Here is a 17578-nt window from a genome sequence, read left to right as displayed (position 1 = left end):
CAGTAATGACTTATGATCTATAGTGATTTAAAAAAAACTCTCTGAGACCAGAAATTTTAGGCATCCCTAATTATGCCCAACTTACGGGTGCCCCGTTTCTGGTAATGCTAGATTTTCATCTGGATGGAGAATTGGAGACCCAAGGCCCAAACAGTGGCTGATCAGATTCACTTGGGGAGGGGAGGAGACCCCACCCGCTGGTGGCAGGTCCATGGGCTGGGCCTTGCCTTACTGCTCTAGCTTATGTTTCCAGTCTCCACACAGTGCCTATGCCTAGCATGGGGCCTTTTATTTGCTAAACAAGTGAGTGAATGAGTAGGTGAGAGAAATTTCTCTTATCCACTGAGTGGGTAATGAGCACCTGGTATAAAGGTACTTTATAACCTAGTATTATTAATATTTATTATTTAATTAGTATTCACAACAGCCTCATTACACAGGAGTTACTCTTGTTCTTTACAGAGGAGAAACGTGTGTAGCGCAGAATTTAATACCTGGTGGTGTGGGGCTGGAACCTAGGGCTGCCAGAGAAGTGGTCCCTTTCACCTGTCTTTAGAGAGCCTCCTCTAGCAGCTTCTAGAATGCCAGCTACAGGTTAAAAGTCTCTGCTCAGCACCACACTGTGACTTTGGGGACCCACCTGCCCCTGGCTACCTTGCAGCCTCCATACTCCTGGTTCTTACCCACAGGTCTCCTTAGAGCTCATCTTGAGACCTATGGCCATAAGATGTCCTTCTATTCCCCATACCCCATGACACCTGGGATTCCATAGCATGGGGTGCAAAGAACTTGAAACCCTGCCCTGGCCCTTACTTACTGGGGCACATAACTCTCCAGTTAAGAGCTTCAGAATCAGACAGCTTTAGGACTTGCCACTTAACTTGTGTGAGCCTCAGTCTCACTTTGGTGACCTTGGGGCAAATGGAAAGGCAGACCCAGCAGCTTGATGCTTGTGGAAACCCCTTATGGATCAGGAAGTGGGTGGTGAAGGGACAACTGTAACCTATGACCAGATTCCACCTTGGAGAGCCTTGTCTAGACAGAAGCCCACTTGAGGGCTCCTGGAGGAAGAGACATTTGTTTTTGCTGGGATGGGGGTATCCCCTCAGGAACCATCCTTTCTCCAGCCCCTGGGAAGGGAGCCAGGCACTAAGGGGAGGGGAACCCCCTGAAAGCAGCCCCGGAGGGTGCCAGCCTTGGCAGAGAGAGGAGGTTCAGGCAGGACTCCTGAGAACTACGGGAGGGCAGGGTTTCTACAGAGTCCATCACATTGTCTATAGACCAGGTTCTCCATATGCAAACTGGTGCCATGAGGTTGCGTGACACAGGCAGAGAAGCAGAGCTGGAAGAGCTGTCACCAAATGTTAGCCCCCTGGTAGTCCCAGGCACCCATCCTGTTGACGGCGCTCCTGCAACCTGTCCCTCACTCTGTATCCATGGCCTCACTCAGTGGGTGCAACAACTGGCAAATTGAGTAGGGCTGACGCAAAAGGAATTTTAGGTGGAGAAATTGAAGGTCAGAGAGGTTAAGGAACTCACTTAAGGTCACACAGCCAGAGAGCAACAGAGCCAGGATTCAGGGCCAGGTCTCTCCAGAATGCAGTGAGGCAGAGAGTCAAGAGATGAGATGGTCTTCTATCTGCCACAGGTTTGTGCAGGGCGAGGAGTGGGTAGCAACCCCTCTCCTAGCAAATTCTCAGTTATCTCTCTCTGCATCTGGTCCCGCCAGGGAGCATTTGCTTTAGTAAAGCTAGAGGAGGCATGTGTAGGACCTGGCTCTCCTGCAGAGCTCATCTTCCCTGGCCTGGAAGCCACAAAGCTGTGTGCATCTGGGATAAGGAGAAGGGGACCTCACACAGAGCACCCCTGGGAATTCCTAAGCCTCCCACATAGGTCTGAAGCTGTGCCTGGCCTTCTCCTGTCTCTGCTGGAGGCTGGAAAGTAGCTGGTAGATGACTGCTGTCCTTTCTCCAACCAGCACAGCAGGGGTAAGGCGGCTCAGCCAGGGGAAGGAAAGGGGAGAACAGGCTCCTGCAGTGCAATGTAAGGAGCTGACCAGCACCCAACTGCTTCATGGAATTCCTCATGGCAAGGAAAACCATTCAGATGTGGCCAGCCTGGTTCTCCTTTTCAAATTTAAAGCTGAAAGATGCTCCTTTAACAACCATGTTTATTTCAACCTATGGCTGTGTTGATGTGAAAAACTTGGCTCCTTGGAGCATCTCCTGTTGTGTCTGAGAACAGCGCCAGCCCCTTGCCCCCCTTTCCCTTCTTAAGGAAGCATCCTCACACTTTTCAGAATGCCCTCGGGGCTGGCTTAACAGTGCTTGATCCCGCTCAGGACTCAGGAGATCTGCTGGCCCTGAGACCGCACCTGGAGAAAGCTGATCTGGGTCTTGAGTGATGGGAGGTTGCCCCTGCTTCAGGGAGGACGTACTAACAAGTCATAGTCTCTTGGGCCACTCGGGTCTGATGCTTGTCAGTGGCTGTGGTTTGTGCCATGTCTGCCCTTGTCCTGAGCCTGGTTCAGAGGTGGGAGTATCATTTTCCCACTCAGGCTTGACCTCCCATCCACCCCATGTGCTGAAGGTGCTCAGATCCATGACCTCTTCCGCACAAGAGGGGAGGTGGTCACCATGTGTGGTCACCATGGGGTTGGGGTCAGTCCTGTATGGTGCCAGCTGCTCTCCCACTGAGTTGTGAGCATGAACCAGCTGAACTCTGAGGCACAGGACTTTCTCCTTGGTGACTCTGGAAGGTATAGGCCCAAGCTGGAGTTTAAGTGGGAAGAAAAAAATCTCTAAATAGGACAGTGGAGTGAGGAGAGCAGTTCTTGTATTTCTACCACGTGCTGGGAACTTTTCATACATTTGCTCAGTTAATGCTCACAGGACTAATGTGGGAGCTGTTATTATTCCCATTTTACAGAGGAGAAAGCTGAGGTCCAGGGGGCTTGCTGAGAAGTGACAGGGCTGACCTATGAACCCAGATTTGCCTGTCCTGTTGCCCCTTCTGAGCCACAGGCTTCCAAGCGCAGTGTGGAATCCCTGCAGCACCCTGGGCAACTTCCCAAAGTCCTGAGGAGCTGGGGTGAAGCCTGTGCACCTCTCTAGGCATACTCAGCTTTCCTAAGGGAGGTTTTGACTCTAGTGATGGGATAGCCTCCTTTCTAGAGAATCTATTGGGAGCTCTGGGTATCAGGAGGCAGTGAGTACAAGACATGGGAGTTGCATTCAGATCACAAGCCCCTCATTCACTGTGCATCTTTGGGCAAGTTACTTAACCTCTTCAAGCCTCGGCGCCTGCCTCCGTGAGGGGGCTCACAAGACCTACCGTGCTGGATGGTTGAGAATGAGACCAGATACTCCAAAACTTTGCTCACTGGAGGTCTGAAGCCAATGATTTCCACAGGGGAAATGGTGGGCAAACTGAGGGCAAGAAATGGCTTGCATCTAGTGGTTGTAGCCCAGGGGGCCTGAGCTCTAACCCCTTGACCTCTGCAGTCTTCGGCTGATCTGCCTCTGAGGGTGGCAGACACAGCCAGGTGAGAGGATGAGCTGGTGGTGCTACTGTGGCTTGGCAACCCGGGACATGGCAAGCCAAGGGGCAGCTCCAATGTGACCTGGCATGAACTGGCCCTCACAGGCAGGCTCAGTGGTGCCAGATCTGGAACCAACCTCCTGACACAGTGGGGAGTAGGGAGAGAGCCTCAGAAACTCCTTCAGAGGCTTCCCAAGCAAATTGGAGAGCCTCCCCTTCCCCCTGCCCTCCTCAAGCTTCAGGTGAAGGCTTTGAGGTGGGAGATATCCCAGATGAAATCCTTCCCTCCAGCCATCCTTGCAGCTCCTCAGCAGCTCAAGCCCACCTGGGAAGGGGGTTAGTAGTGAAAGAAGGGACTAACTGAGGCAAGGGAAGACAGCCCAGAGTGGGGTGGGCCAAAGGAGCCCCTGGGATTGGCCAAGCAGAGAATGGAGGACGCAAGGAAGGCCTGCCCATCTGCCATGTGTCATGGCCCAGAAGAACGTCCCTTTCCCCTTCATCTAAGACAGGGAGGTCCCTAAGTCTGGAGAGGAAGCTATTCATGGTTGATTGGTTGTTGGGATTTTCTTTCTGTCAGACTTTCCCCAGGCTGTCTGACCTGGGCTTAGAAGGGAATGCACTTTGCACTGAGCTGGCTTCAGTCTTTCTCCTGAGAACCCAGGTCAGCTGAGTTCTGCTCTTGCCTCCCCTTGACTTTAGGAGGCTGTGGATTAATCACACTGTATTCTTCCCACAGGCAGCCCCTTCCAGGGAATGTTCCAGAGTGATACCAATGACTTAAATTGGGGGTGACACATCTGAACATCAGCATGTGCTCTACATGCTCCATGTTTGGGTCTTGATAGGCCTCCACTGATCCCTTGTCCTTCCCGCTCTGTCCCATCCACTAGCTCATGCCATGCAACCCTTGGAAACCAAGTAGAAATGAGGGGGTGTCTGAGATTTTTCCAATTAACTAAATGAAGCATATGATTGAGATAAAGACTATGGACTGGCTGGATTTTGTGAAATGAGGTTTAAACTCTCAAATGGAAATAAAACCAAAATCCACTCCAGCCTCGATGGACCCTGTTGGGGAGCAGCAGCCCTGTGTGCCCCTGTAGCGTGGCCTTCTCTCAAAGCCCTTTGCTTCCCTCCAGTAACCCAGGGCATATGGAGTAAAATCCCAAGAGCCAATGAGGAAGACGGCCCAGTTCTGGTGCCACCAGCAGGCTTGGGTTCTTGAGATTTCTGGCAGAGACTGGAGGAATAGGGCTATTTCAAGACATGAGGCCTCCCCTCTTCAGTAAGGGTCTCCAGGGCTTCCTTAGGGTCAGGAAAAGACAAAGACACTTACTTCTGTCCTGGCAAAAAGAAATCAAGGTGGGAGGATGCAAGGCCATCTCTGGCCTTCCTGTCTACTCTCAACAGCTTTCTCTCCCCAGGTTCCAGGAGACCTAAGCCCCTCTGCTCCAGGACACAGCATTCTACCAGCCCCCTTCTTACCCACCGCACACAGTTGTTCCCTTCCCAGTGAGCTTCTGGTCATCCAAGAGCAGACAAACTTGTTCCCAGAGACCCAGGGGCAGATGTGTGTTGGACTTGGGTCACCCGGGGAAGGCTATTTATAAATCACCCCGATAAGCACAATCTGCCCTGCTCAGCCCAGGCCACATGGACACGCTGTGTGTCTGGTGATTCTACTGCTAAGCTAACCCTCCCAGCACCGTGACAGCAAACTGGACATTTCCTGTATCAGCCAGGCCTAAAAAGTGGGCCCTGGAAGGTGCAGGAGGCTCAGGAGCCAGCCAGCCACTGGTCCTGAAGGGTCTGGCTTACAAACTATTCTAACAGCAAGAACTTTCACTGCTTTTTTTTTTTTTTTTTTTGTATTAAATTGACCCATCTCAAGATGTGTTCTTGTAACACAGTGGTCAGCAAACTTTTTCTGTAAAGGGCCACATTGTAAGCGTTTTCAGTTTTGCAGGCCATATGGTTTCTGCTGATATAGTGTAGAAGCAGCTTTAGACAATATGCAAATGAATGAAGGTGGCTGTGTGCCAATACAACTTTATTTACAAAACCAGATGCTCAGACCACAGACCAGAGTTACCAGCCACTACTGCAAAGGGAACTCAAATGCTGGAAAACAGGACCTCATTTACTACACACATCTGTTTAATCTGCTTCCCAGGTTCCTATACTTAGGGAGCTACCTGAAAGGCCTACACAATGATTTTTCTTAAGGCTATCTAGCTTTCCACACACATTGACCACTGCCGTTCTCAATGTTCAATTCTTCTCCACCAGAAAATAAAAGAGGTAATTTTAGACTCAGTCAAGCATACCCTGTGGGAGTCTGGTGGGGGCCCTCCCAGGGTGTGTAAGAACAGGCAGCCTGTGGCGGGCTTTGTTTTGGGGACACACATGCTCGCAGAGCCCACAGGCCAGAACGTCTCAGTCACCAGTTTTTCTCTTTGTTACAGCTGGTGTGACCCTGCCTGGCCCAGCGCTGGGGGAGCTAAGAAAGCCAGCCTCCCTCAGCCCTGAATGCTGAAAACCTGGGACCATGGGGTCACCCATTTGACAGCGCAGTGGCCTGGGCACATCTGTGCACTCAGCCATGTGGGAGCAGAGATCCCTGACAGATGACACCTAAGGACAAAGTCACACATGTACACGGTTCCGGGTACGTGGTCCCCGAGGCCCATCCAGCACACCAAGAACCTTAGCCCCAACACCAATGGGCTCCCGGCACACACATACCACCCTGCACAGCACCCTGGCACCGAACTACTTCCCCAGCACAGCATCGGCCCAGCGGGAACATCCCTCCCGCCATGAACTTGAGCCTCCCTGCCCACGCTAAGGAGCCAGACAAGTGTCTGGGCTGTACCTTCCGCTCTCTGCGTGTCCAGCTGCTCAGGCCTCCTCGGGAATGGGAGAGAAACCCGGCTCTGCCCAGCAGCCAAGACTTCTTTCCTCTTTATCCAGGCTGCCCAAAGGTGATAGGAGAGTGGATTCAGGACCCAAGCCTCCTCTAGCTCACAAACCTACCCACCTGAGGAAGATCAGTGACCAGAAGCCGGCCAGACACGGGAAGTCCGCGAAGCTTACCTAAATAGAGACCCAGCCGGGGGAAACCAAATGGTGTTCTTGGTGGGGAAGAGGCAAACAGTCCGCACTGCAACACCCGCGTGGTGTCAAGTAACAGTCAGATTAAACAAACAGCCTCAGCTGCTATTTTTACTTCCAAATCAGCCACGAGTAACAGATCACTTGGGGAGTGAGAAATTGCTTGCCGCTTAGCCGGACCCTAACCACGATTCCAACTTCAATCCAGAATGATTGCTAAAGCTATTCCAGCACCTAGAGTCAAATAAAAATATCCCGAGGTGGGAAGGAAAACATTTGTTTAGGGAAACATTAAAAACAGGAGAGTGTGTGCCTTGGAGCCAGAGCCCAGAGCCCTGCTGATGTCCCGGGGCAGAAATAGCCCGTTTCATCATCGGCTCTGGACGACCGCCGCCCGCATTCCTCGAGTAAGGAGCCGTCCTCTGCTGTGCTTTTGGAGCAGAATAATCTGCAGCTAGGGGAAGGCCAGGCTGGGTCTCAGGGTGAGAGTTACAGAAGGATATGAAATAATCGGGGAAGAGGCAAGGTAAGTGTCCACTTGGTAAGCTTGGCTACAGCAAGCCCGGTTGTTTGCAAAGTCCAAGCACCAGTGGACAAGTCCCGTTCTGCCAGGCTCCCCTCTCCACCTCTGGGAAGGGCTGGCCTCCCTTCAACCCTGAGGTGGGCTCATGCCTGCCTTCCCAATGGCTGCTTTCTGTCTCAGGCTGGGGTCACCTGCTCCCCAAACTGCCCACAGATCCCCCAACTTTTTCCACTGGCTTTTCCTTGGCTTGTGCCATGCCAGCTCCCAGAGTGCCTTCCTTACTCTCCCAAGCTGGCCCTAGGATAGTCTGCTTGCTACCAGGATTTAATGCAAGAGTGGGTTTTTTTCCCCCTTTCTCTCCAAGGTTCTTTTTTATGCTTCCCTGACTGTGGCCTGAGAAAGCGGAGATGACTGGCCCCCGCTGGGTGTCCTGCTCTGTGCAGCGCTCAAAGCCTCTGCAAGTTTGCAGTGTGCTGTGTCTTTGGGTCTATTTGTAGACTGTCCCTTCTGCCCCTGTGGGCTCTTCAAGGGCAGCAACCTGTGTCCCAGCCCCAAGCTGGGGCCTGGCACCACCTCCAGCCTTGAACCGGCTGACAGCCAGGGCCACAGGGACCCAGGTCTATGTACTTTTGTCTAAACCAAGTCACAAAGAACAGCTCCTCCTTGCCCTGCAGACTAAGGTGTGAGATTCCAACCAGCAGGAGCATTCAGACCCGCCTCCTCCTGGGAGCCTCAAGACTTGCCTTTTGCCCTGAGAGCTTCAGAACCTCGCTGTGGGGATGATTACTTGCTGCTCCGCACTCAGAGATGCTTTGAGGGAGGCCCAAAGTGAACCCCTCAATTTTACCCACCCACCTCCCTACCTCCCCATTTGCCAAAACAAACGCATGCCAAAAGGTCAGACAAAAGCCATCAACTTGAGATGGGAGCCAACATTTAAAAAGTACACAGGATTTTGAGCCCTGGCTCCATTATTTCCTGGTCAGTTGACATGTCACATACTTACCCTTCCTGAGCCTCAGTTTACCCATCTCTAAAGTGGAGAGAATGCCTGTGCTCTGTGGGATTCAGGGTCAGGGGAGCTCATGTACATGAATATGCTCGTCTATTGCAAAGCTTCCCAAAATGTTAGTCATTTATTTGTTATTTTTTCCCATGATTTTTGCTACACCTCAACCATCTGTATCAACATTTACTTACTATTTTCCTTTAAAGAAAATTTAAATTGACTTGCTTTTTTTCTTGAACAGAAGAACTTTATGGAAAACAACAATACTTAATAGATCATGGATTTGACATATTTGTTAATTTCCCTCCCTCCCAGTACACATTGAAACAAATTTACAGTCAGTTCATATGTCATCTGTTTGACCCAAATCATTTTGTTCCAGATGTTAGAAAATGTTGCATTACTAAACCTCATTTTATGGAGGAGTTTGCTTTGGGGTGTGAGTAACATGAGCTGAAAGCTTCGGCAGGGCCGCTGGTCTTCCTAATTTGCTTTCCTCCCCTCCTCAGCACCTTCCTTCCCCAGCTTACGTTTCATTCTTCACAGGTGGAGAGCATGACCTCATGTCTTGTTTAGGATCCTAGAAACAGCAAGCTTTGCTCTGCAGCAGGAGCGAATGGTGTTTGCTTGAAGTGGCTGATTGAGGAAAGAGCACCGTGGGATGGCTGGGGAATGTTCCGGGGGCCGGGCACTGGCGGGTAGCTTTGTCAATGACATCAGCAGGAGGGGTAGGGAGAGAATAATAAAACACAGTTGACCCAGCAAGAGCCTGTCCTAGGAGCAGGCAGCCCTCAGAGCTTGGCTGGAGGCTCCAACCAGCAAGCCTGAGCATAGCTGACACCTGCAGAATCTAATTTCTCCTGGATGTTCCCCCACCTGCCCTGTGTAATAGACTCTATGTCTGTGTCAGTTACAGCGGGTATCCTGATGCAGACCATCCCCAGCCAGAAACACAGCCGCAGAACTGAGCCCAAGCTCCAGACCAAAAACTGAGCCCAAGCTCAGGGTCTGCATGGCCCAGAGCTGGCATCTGTCCGGGGGACTGGCCCAGGCAAAGTGACCACTGTCATCCAGTCCAGGAGCTGTGAGCTGCATGGAAAGAATGTGAATGAAGACACAACTCTAAATGTGGAACCATGGACGCTATGTGAGCCAGTGTGCTCCCTAGCCGTCCAGAAAAACAAGGCCCACTTGTACATTCTGCAAGAGCATAAATAAAGCTGTCCTCAGGCGGCGTGCTGTGGTGGCCCATCCTTGCAGTGGCTTCACTGGCTGCACCCCTCAGCAAGGCCTCTGGAACACTGTGAGGGCAGCACACCCACCCAACAGCGTGGGTAAAAAACGGTCTAGCTATGGCCTTGCCGCACGTGGTGATCGCTAACTTAATTTTGCAGCAAATTTAATCTGCTCTGTATTGGTATTAATTAGAAATGTTCAAAAGCTGGTAATAAGGGCAGTGCAGAATGGGTCCTTCAGGCCAATTTCTGGTTCTGGGTATTTGAAGCTCATATCCCTGCAAATAACAGGAAGCCACTCACCTGATTCTTTTAACTTTGCGTCCTGGTTATATGTGACTTCCTGTCGGGGAACGTTTCTTCATTATCACCCAGCTTTCCTTTAGGAGTCATTTCTGTAAAGTTCTTCAGGACGGTGGTACATTTCCATGGCTTAATAATAATAATAGCAAGTGAAAATGCTAGCCAGCAAACATAGAATGCTTACTTTGTGTGCCACATGGTTCTAAGTCCTCACATCAATTAACCCACACCCTATACACCCCTGATCATAGGTCCCTGCATGATTTTTTCCCATCCCCATGAATCACTATCCATTGGGGAGCTAGGGAAGGATGAGATATGGAGAAGTGATATTTCCTGAGCACTCATTATGTGCCAGGAAAACACTTTCTGTGCTTTGTTCCACAAAATACTTAGTCTCCCTGTAAGATGGCAGCTAATGTTTCCTTTTTAAGGATGAGGAAACTGAGGCTTGCAGAGGTCCCAGGATGCCACAGCTAATAGCAGCACAGAAGATGCAGACGAGGGCTCACCTTCCCACCTATCCAGTTAGTACTCTCCCAGCCCAAGTGCAGGACACAGCCAGCTGTTCTCCTTGCCTCTCCCTGCAGAGAGGGCAATGCCTGCAGGGCACCTCCTTAGCTACCGATTTGTTATGGGGATTCTGTGCCCACTGTGAGCACAGCATGAGTGTATTTCCAAGCCTGATGGCAAGATGGTGCCTCACTGGAGGAGCCCTCACTTCAGGGGCTTAGGCCCAGCTGGGCTGGCTGCCTGCTGAGGGGCCTGAGCCGGAGGACCTCTCTTGCAGGAGCACTAGGTTGGTGAGGTGTTGCCTGCTAATGTGTAGCTCAGAGGGGCTAGAGTTATGGGGGCAGGGCCCTGTTTGTAGCTCAGAGCTTGAAAGAGCCCAAGTTGCCGAGGCCCCTTCTATAGGGCTGCCCTTCTCCCTATCTGACCAGCCTGGTGCTGGGATGGCGATAGTCACATTCAACTGAGGGTCACCTTGGCTGAGGCCTCTCCTCAAGGCAGTTCCTTTAGGATTCTTTGTTTAGGACTTTACGATGGAAGACTTAGACATAAGAAACAGAATCTGTGAAGGAAATCCAGTTTATTAAAGTGCTACCAAGTCTCACAACAAAGCCATGGCAACCAGCTGGGAGGTCGGCTTCCTGGTGGATCTGGGTGTAGTTGCTCCTCTCTCCACACTCAGAGAGATCTGGAAGCCCAGCGTTAAGAGGAGCTACTCCCTAGAGGACGGGTTGACAAACTTTTTCTGCAAAAGGCCAGATGGTAAATATTTTCAGCTTTGCAGGCCAGTGGGTCTTTGTCAAAAGAGCTCAGTTAGGCCATGGTAGCATGAAAGCAATTAGAGACACTCTACACAAATAGGAGTGACTAACACGGTAAATAAAACTTCAGTTTCAGAGTTTAAAAGAAGAAAGTTGATTTTCATACAATTCCATGTATTACAAATATTCTTATTTTGACATTTTCCCTCCAATTATTGAAGTGTGTACAACCACTCTTAGCTCACAGGGCTGTCCAGAACAGACAGCACAGGGATTTGGCTCATGGACAGTTTGCCGACCTCTGCCCTAGAGCCACTTTGTCCACTTGAGTGGCCACCAACCCTATGTGGCTAATGAGCACTTGAAACATGGCTGGTCTGAACCAAGATGTTCTGTGAGTGTAAAATGCACACTGGATTTCCTTAGTACAAAGAAAACCTTGGAAAATATCTCAACAATATTCTGTATTGATTACATGTTGACATGACAATACCTTGGACATTCTGGGTTTAATAAAATATATTGTTAAAATTTACTTTCACACGTTTCTACTTTTGGAATGTGGCTCTAGAAGATTTGAAATGACATATATGGTGTGGGCTGTATTTCCACTGGACAGTCCTGGGCTCTGCTCCTGGTCACGGACCCTCACCCTCATTGCCTGGTATGTCCATTAGGCCAGACTTGACTTGGGATCAGGGCTGAGCTGCTCATGGTGAAAGAGTTTCAATTTCTCCACCGCGATTGCTCTGGGTTCAGTTGTTAAGCAGAAACTTTCGCAAGTGTATTCCTAGATCATGGGTATTGTTGTTCCCATTTGCTTCCACCATTGTTTCTAAAATTTATTGGGCCTTAAAATGAGACTTTAAGCGCATGAAGAAAAATATGGTGAGCATTGCCGTTTTCCAGGCACCTCCAGAAGCTGCATGCTGGGTTAGCGGTCTCATACACAGTGTGGATTGGATCTTCACAACCATTCTGGGAGGGAGGCATTCTTACCTCCATTTCCAGATTCAGAATGAGGTCAAAGAGGTGAAGTCCCTCACCCCAAATTACGTACTTGGCAGCAGAGCTGGTGTCAAAGTCAGGGTTCCCTTTCTCCTCAGACCACTCTTTCCCCTGGTGCCATGTCACTAACACGGTGGTGGAAGCAGGGCCTTCTTGGAAGAGGTGCTTCCACCTCCAGTGCAGAAGCAGAGCAGGGATTCCGTAGAGCAGCCTGGCTGAGGGGAAAGAGACTGTCAAGGCAGGGCTGGAATGCAAAGCCCAAGCGTGCTGTTGCTACTCTGCACCCCAGGTGCCACCTGTTCTCTTTCCCATAACGAGAACAGGGAGCAGGGAGAGGAAGACCACTGTGTACCTGTCCCACACCCACTGTGGCTGCAGGGTTTAGTGCAGGACTGTTTTAGCCTCAGAGGTGGACCAAGGTAAGAGTCACCAGCTCCAGCCTTACGGGCTTCTTGCCCCTCTCTGCATGCAGCTCCACCCTGCCCCAGGGCCTTTGCACCTGCCTATCGGATCCTCTGTTTGGAGCGCTCTGCCCTGATCCTGACATGGGTGCTTCCTTCTCACCGTTCAAGCTTCAGCTCAAGTGTCACTTCCTCAGAGAGACTTTTCCTGGCTATCCTATCTAGAGACCCTCACCCCGACCCCAGCTGACCTCTGTCACACCCCTCACTCTATTCTTCATGGTCATGATCACTAACAGAAACCATCCCACTTCTTTGTTCCTGGGCTATGCTCTGTCTATGCACTCCCTTCTTCCAGAAAGCAATTCCAAGACGACATCTACTTTGCCTGCCTCATGTTCTTCCGTGCACTTCATGTGAAATGAATGAGTGTGAGCAGTGGTTCTCAAGTCCCCCGAAGGAGGAAGCACCGATTGCTGGGGCCCTCCCTCAGAGTTCCTGCTTCAGTGGGTCCTCTGTGGGGCCTGGGTATGTGCATTTCTAATAAGTCCTCAGGTGATGCTGATGCTGCTGGTCCAGGGGTCACCCTTGGAGAAGAAAGAGCACCTGTTCCTGGACAGGCTGCACGGACTCTCTTCCACGCTTGCTGTGGATGATTTCCTGGGAGCTGCTGTTCAAAAGTGGCTTTCTACTTAACTTGACTCAACAAATATTTACTGAGCACTTCCTGTGGATCAGGCACTTCTGGTTGCTTTCTCATTTGTAACCTCCTTTTCTCCTCACTACATTTCTGAGGTGATTTACTGGCAAGAGAGCTGAGGCTTAAGAGGTTGAATAAATGGTTCAAGGTCACAGAACTAGGCATAGGTGGGGCTTGGGCTGGTTGCAGGGGGTTCTGGCACCTGGCTTAGGTGGGTTCCCATCCTGCCCTATTGCTCTCTGAGGTCTGGCCTCCCAGGAGCCTTTGGGTATGGCTCACAGGTGCCAGGTATGTCCAGCCATCTATTTCCACTTCTCTGTGTGCTGCTGGGCAGAGCCACACAGAACTCCAGGTGGTACAGCCAGGAGAGTCTGTAGCTGAGCTGCTAAGTTTGTGAATTTTGGCCACAGGGTCTTAAGCACTGCACTCTCAGATCTACCTCACACCAGCTGTGTGACCTTGGACATATGACTTGATTTCTCCAAACCTCCATTTGGTACCTATGTCATATGACTGTTGCAAATATTAAATGGGATGATGCAAGTGCTTAGCATGGGTAGGTACAATAAGCTAATGAAGTCATTTTGTCATAACTGTGATTGCCTTGGCTCTCTTGTGGTTGGGTTGGAGGGCAATAGCAGGTCTGAAATGATTGAGAACTTGGGAGCTAGGGGCTGAGGAGGTGGTGAGTGGAGGACCAAGAAGCTGGGTACCTCCCTGCCATGCAGCATTACGCAGCTGTAGAAAGGAATGAAGACCATCTCTCCATCCTTGCAGGAAGTAATTCCCAGGACAAGGGGGAGAAACATGGGTACAGTGTGTTTACCATTCACTGAAGGAGAGATTATAGATGTATGCCTATTTATATGGATTTCCTGATATTAAAAGAAAACCATAGAATAATTACAAAATGATTATGGGGAAGAAAGAAAACAGGCTGGTGGGATAAGGAAAAGGAGCTAGGTTTCCCTGAATCTACACTTTTTTTGGGTAGATTTGACTTGGACCCATGACATACCTTCCAGAATTTTAAAACTAAATTAAATCAAAAAATTTAAAAAAGAAGCACCTAAAAACTGAGAGCAAAATGAAACAAATGAACCTAATGCATAGGTGGCATGATTTCACAAAAGGAAATTATATCAAATGTTTTTCAAATAAGTAATTTGATTTAACCCATAATGGGAATATACCCGAACACAAAATTATGAATTTTAAATAAAATCTTAAACTGTTCTTAGAAATATTGATAGATGACAGATAGAGCAAATAGGTAAGTATGGGTTTTTTTCTTAGAAATATTTAATAGGGACTTATAAACAGAAGGCATGTCTGTGTCTCGGGTGGTGACAAGACAAGATGATGGATCCCTGTGCCCCTACCCCCAGACCCAGGGCTCATATACCACAGGGGAGGGGTGGCTCAGGAGGGACGTGTAAGACAATTGAAGTGTGACAACATCAATGTTATTTGAGCTAAGGGCAGGATTTACAGTCAGCTCCTGCTCTAACTCAAGGAATAACAGATAAATGGGAAATCTTAGAGAACTTCCTGGAACAGGGGTTTGTCAGAAGCCAATGTGGTGGATTAGCTTAAATTGGTAAGTATGTTCATGTCATTCAAAGCAAGATTTTTAGTGTTAGAGAAAGAAGATGCAAATATAAAACCAAAATATTAAGTAACACTCTATGCATATATTTGAATATCAGTATGAACTCTTAATTACTTTCTCTTAAAAAATTATTTCTTAACTGATAAGATCTAGAAGCCATAGCCAACACAATAGCAATGAGCATCGTTTATACCTAGATTTTTGTCTCTAGATACCATTTCTCATTAAAAAGAACAGAAAATGTGTAAGAAGAGTCTGGAACTTTGGCGTCACCAGAAAGGCAAGAAGGCTGTGAAAATCTCCTGGGATCATGTGATGAGAGCCAAGGAGCTGACTTTGGGAGGCTCCCACTAGGAAAGATGACGGAATAGTGTGTACATCAGTAGGGATGAAAACTGGAATGGATAGAAAACACATGCAATGTGTTTAACTCATGAGTTCATAACACTACTAAGAAAAATAACAGCTCAGACAGCATTCCTTGGTCCCTTAGCAAGACTCAAGGAGCAGCTTCATTCTCCTGAGAAGTGGGCCAGGGTTGGGAACTTAGCCTGACTCTGCTATGTGAACTGTACCAAATAGTCCAAGCCACTAAGCGGTTGATGAAGGAGGGTTTCTCTAAAAGTAAAGATAAAGATGTAAGGCAAACTAGAATATTATAAATTTTCAAGGCTCTGATGAAATCACAGCTTAATACAATAATTGCTACTGGGTTACCTATGAAAATATACAGGAAGTGTTCTTGCCAAAACACCAAATCTCAACAGAACAAGCCTCTAAACCTTGATTTAACTCCCAGATGACAGGAAGAGCAGGAACACAGGAAACAGATAAATGACACCATAAGGGAGTAATTGGCAGGATCCAGGAAAATTGGAAAAATCTGTGGAAAATTCTGCAGGACAAGAGCCAATTTGTATAACAAACACATTGTTGAATATAAGGCAGGTGAGATCTATTGATTAAAAGACGCTAGAGACACATTGACCAAATGTCATATATAGACCCTCTCTGCATCCTGATTCCAGCAAAAATTTATAAGACAACCAGAGATATGTGAAGGCTGCCTAGGTATTTGATTATATTAAGTAATTGCTGCTAATTGTTTAGAAGTGATAGTAGCATTATGTTGATAAAAGAGGCTTTACCGTTCAGAGAGACCTACACTAATACTTATCAATGAAAGCCAACGCCTGGGACCTCTTCAAAGTAATGCAGTGTACGGAGAAGTGGTTTGAGGTATAGTTGAAGAAATTTTTCTGAAGTTGGGCATTTGTAGTACTATCCTCTTTACATTTGTGTACATTTGAAATGTTCCATAATTTAAAAAATGGAAAATTCCCTGGGGCAGCGAAGACAGAGAGGGTCAGAGGGAGCTGACGAGGAGGTGGGAGCTCCTGGGAAGGAGAGAGACACAGGCAGGGAATAAGAGAATGTGGGTGGGGCCCTGCGGGAGCCAGGGTGAGATCTGAGACTGTCCCTCAGGCCACATGGCAGAGGAGGTGGCCCGTCCTGCAGACTCCAGTCTGTCTGGTCACCTCACTTAGGGTTATTTGATATAAAGTGGCTTCAGGGAGGCCAACAGCCCTACAAACATGGGCAAGTACACAAAACATCAGAAACAATTAAACATCCAACTTTACAGATTGGTTGCCTGGGGCTGCCCTTATAAATTAAAAACTTAAAAAAGGAGAAAATATTTATGATAGATTGTTGAGTAACCAAGTAAAAAATGGAGGTCATATATTAATGTAAAAACATGAATATTCATGCAAAAATGTATTTATATATTAAGATAGTCTCAAATACTGTATCACCAGGCATTAGAGAAAAAATGCCTAAACAACAAATAGTGAAGAAGAATATGTATGTGTGTTGATTTCTTCTTTAAAAAACAATGCATTTTTCATTGAGGTGACTTGCAGCAGAGTGAACACCTGGTCTTATTTTGGACGAGGGACTCTTTCCATTTCCCCACCCCACAAGGGTCCCTGAGGTTTTTCCTGCTGGACCCACATGAAGGTGAGTGGCTAATTTCACCTGTGATGTTAATGCCCCTAGAATGGATGTATGGGATGGTGGGGATAAAAATACCCCAGTGCAGGTGGAGTTTCTCTAGAAAGCCCAGAGCTATCTACTTTCTCCCAAAGGCTGGTCAGTGGACTTTCCCCAGGGGCCAGTGCTGTGGCCTGGTGACCTGTGTCTGGGGCAGGGAGATGCTTCTTGGAGCCTTGCAGGTCCCAAGTTTCCTTTATGGCATTGTCTTTGCTTCAAAGGGTCACCTCGGCCCCAGCAGGGAGGCAGAGGTGCTTGTGTCCACAGATGGGCGGCCCAGCTCATGCACCTTCCACTTTGTCAGAGCTGTGGGGCTTCCTGCTGGGGAAAGCAGTATGGCAATACCCCTGCCCTCACACACTAGAGGAAGTTCCTTTGCATTCTTCAGGCCGGAGCCTTTTAGAGCACAGAGTAGGAAACAGATACTCACAGTGGGATGGGCCTTGCATGCTGTGCAAGGTCAGGGCAGAGCCAGACTGTGTGCCCTCTGATGAGCAGGTTTGCAGGCCACAGTCTTCTCTCTGGGGTCGCTATCTGACATTCGGGTCTCAACTCCTCCAGACTAGCTCTGCTTCTTGAAGTTTCGAGAGGCTTCCAGAGGCCAGAATTCAGGGAGCTCTGAGGCTTCCATGTAAGTTTCTGGGCATCCACTCGTCGCTGTTCCTCGGTGTGGTGCTGTCGGGTCTGCAGAGGGCTTCCTGTCACTGTCTCTCTTGCACTGGTTCTTGGCACAGCCCCAGCAGCCTCATCACCCTCCACTTTCCAGCCTTGGGAGCATGGGCTTGGAGACTTATGGAGAGTCACATG

At 48.9% G+C, this 17578-nt stretch overlaps 1 protein-coding gene and 1 long non-coding RNA gene across 7 annotated transcripts in view, besides 1 other annotated feature; one reads left to right on the top strand and one right to left on the bottom strand.

Annotated features, from left to right (window-relative positions):
• The window catches only part of C10orf71 (chromosome 10 open reading frame 71), a 30443-nt gene extending 21623 nt beyond the window's left edge, over positions 1-8820 (bottom strand). For 2 of the 6 annotated variants that reach the window (XM_005269477.4, XM_047424549.1), the window contains exon 1: positions 6581-6700. The gene's annotated coding sequence lies outside the window, so the exon portion shown is untranslated. The other 4 variants (NM_001135196.2, XM_017015619.2, XM_005269478.5 and 1 more) reach the window with 3 other exon arrangements.
• C10orf71-AS1 (C10orf71 antisense RNA 1) lies at positions 6977-9587 on the top strand. Its single transcript, NR_108038.1, has 2 exons — positions 6977-7180; positions 9097-9587. It is a non-coding gene; the product is annotated as a C10orf71 antisense RNA 1 (long non-coding RNA).
• Positions 8647-8824: a silencer, noted in NCBI's record as "fragment chr10:50505091-50505268 (GRCh37/hg19 assembly coordinates)". NCBI's record gives its function as "represses an EF-1alpha promoter that drives an FKBP-Casp9 reporter gene in an ReSE screen in K562 erythroleukemia cells {active_cell/tissue: K562}" and the evidence as "EXISTENCE:reporter gene assay evidence [ECO:0000049][PMID:32094911]".
• Positions 9588-17578: the final 7991 nt, after the last annotated feature.

Source organism: Homo sapiens, chromosome 10 (genome assembly GCF_000001405.40).
Source record: "Homo sapiens chromosome 10, GRCh38.p14 Primary Assembly".
Lineage (NCBI taxonomy): Eukaryota > Metazoa > Chordata > Mammalia > Primates > Hominidae > Homo > Homo sapiens.
The sequence above is the reverse complement of the archived record's forward strand: the minus strand, read 5'-3'. Positions and strand labels throughout refer to the sequence as shown.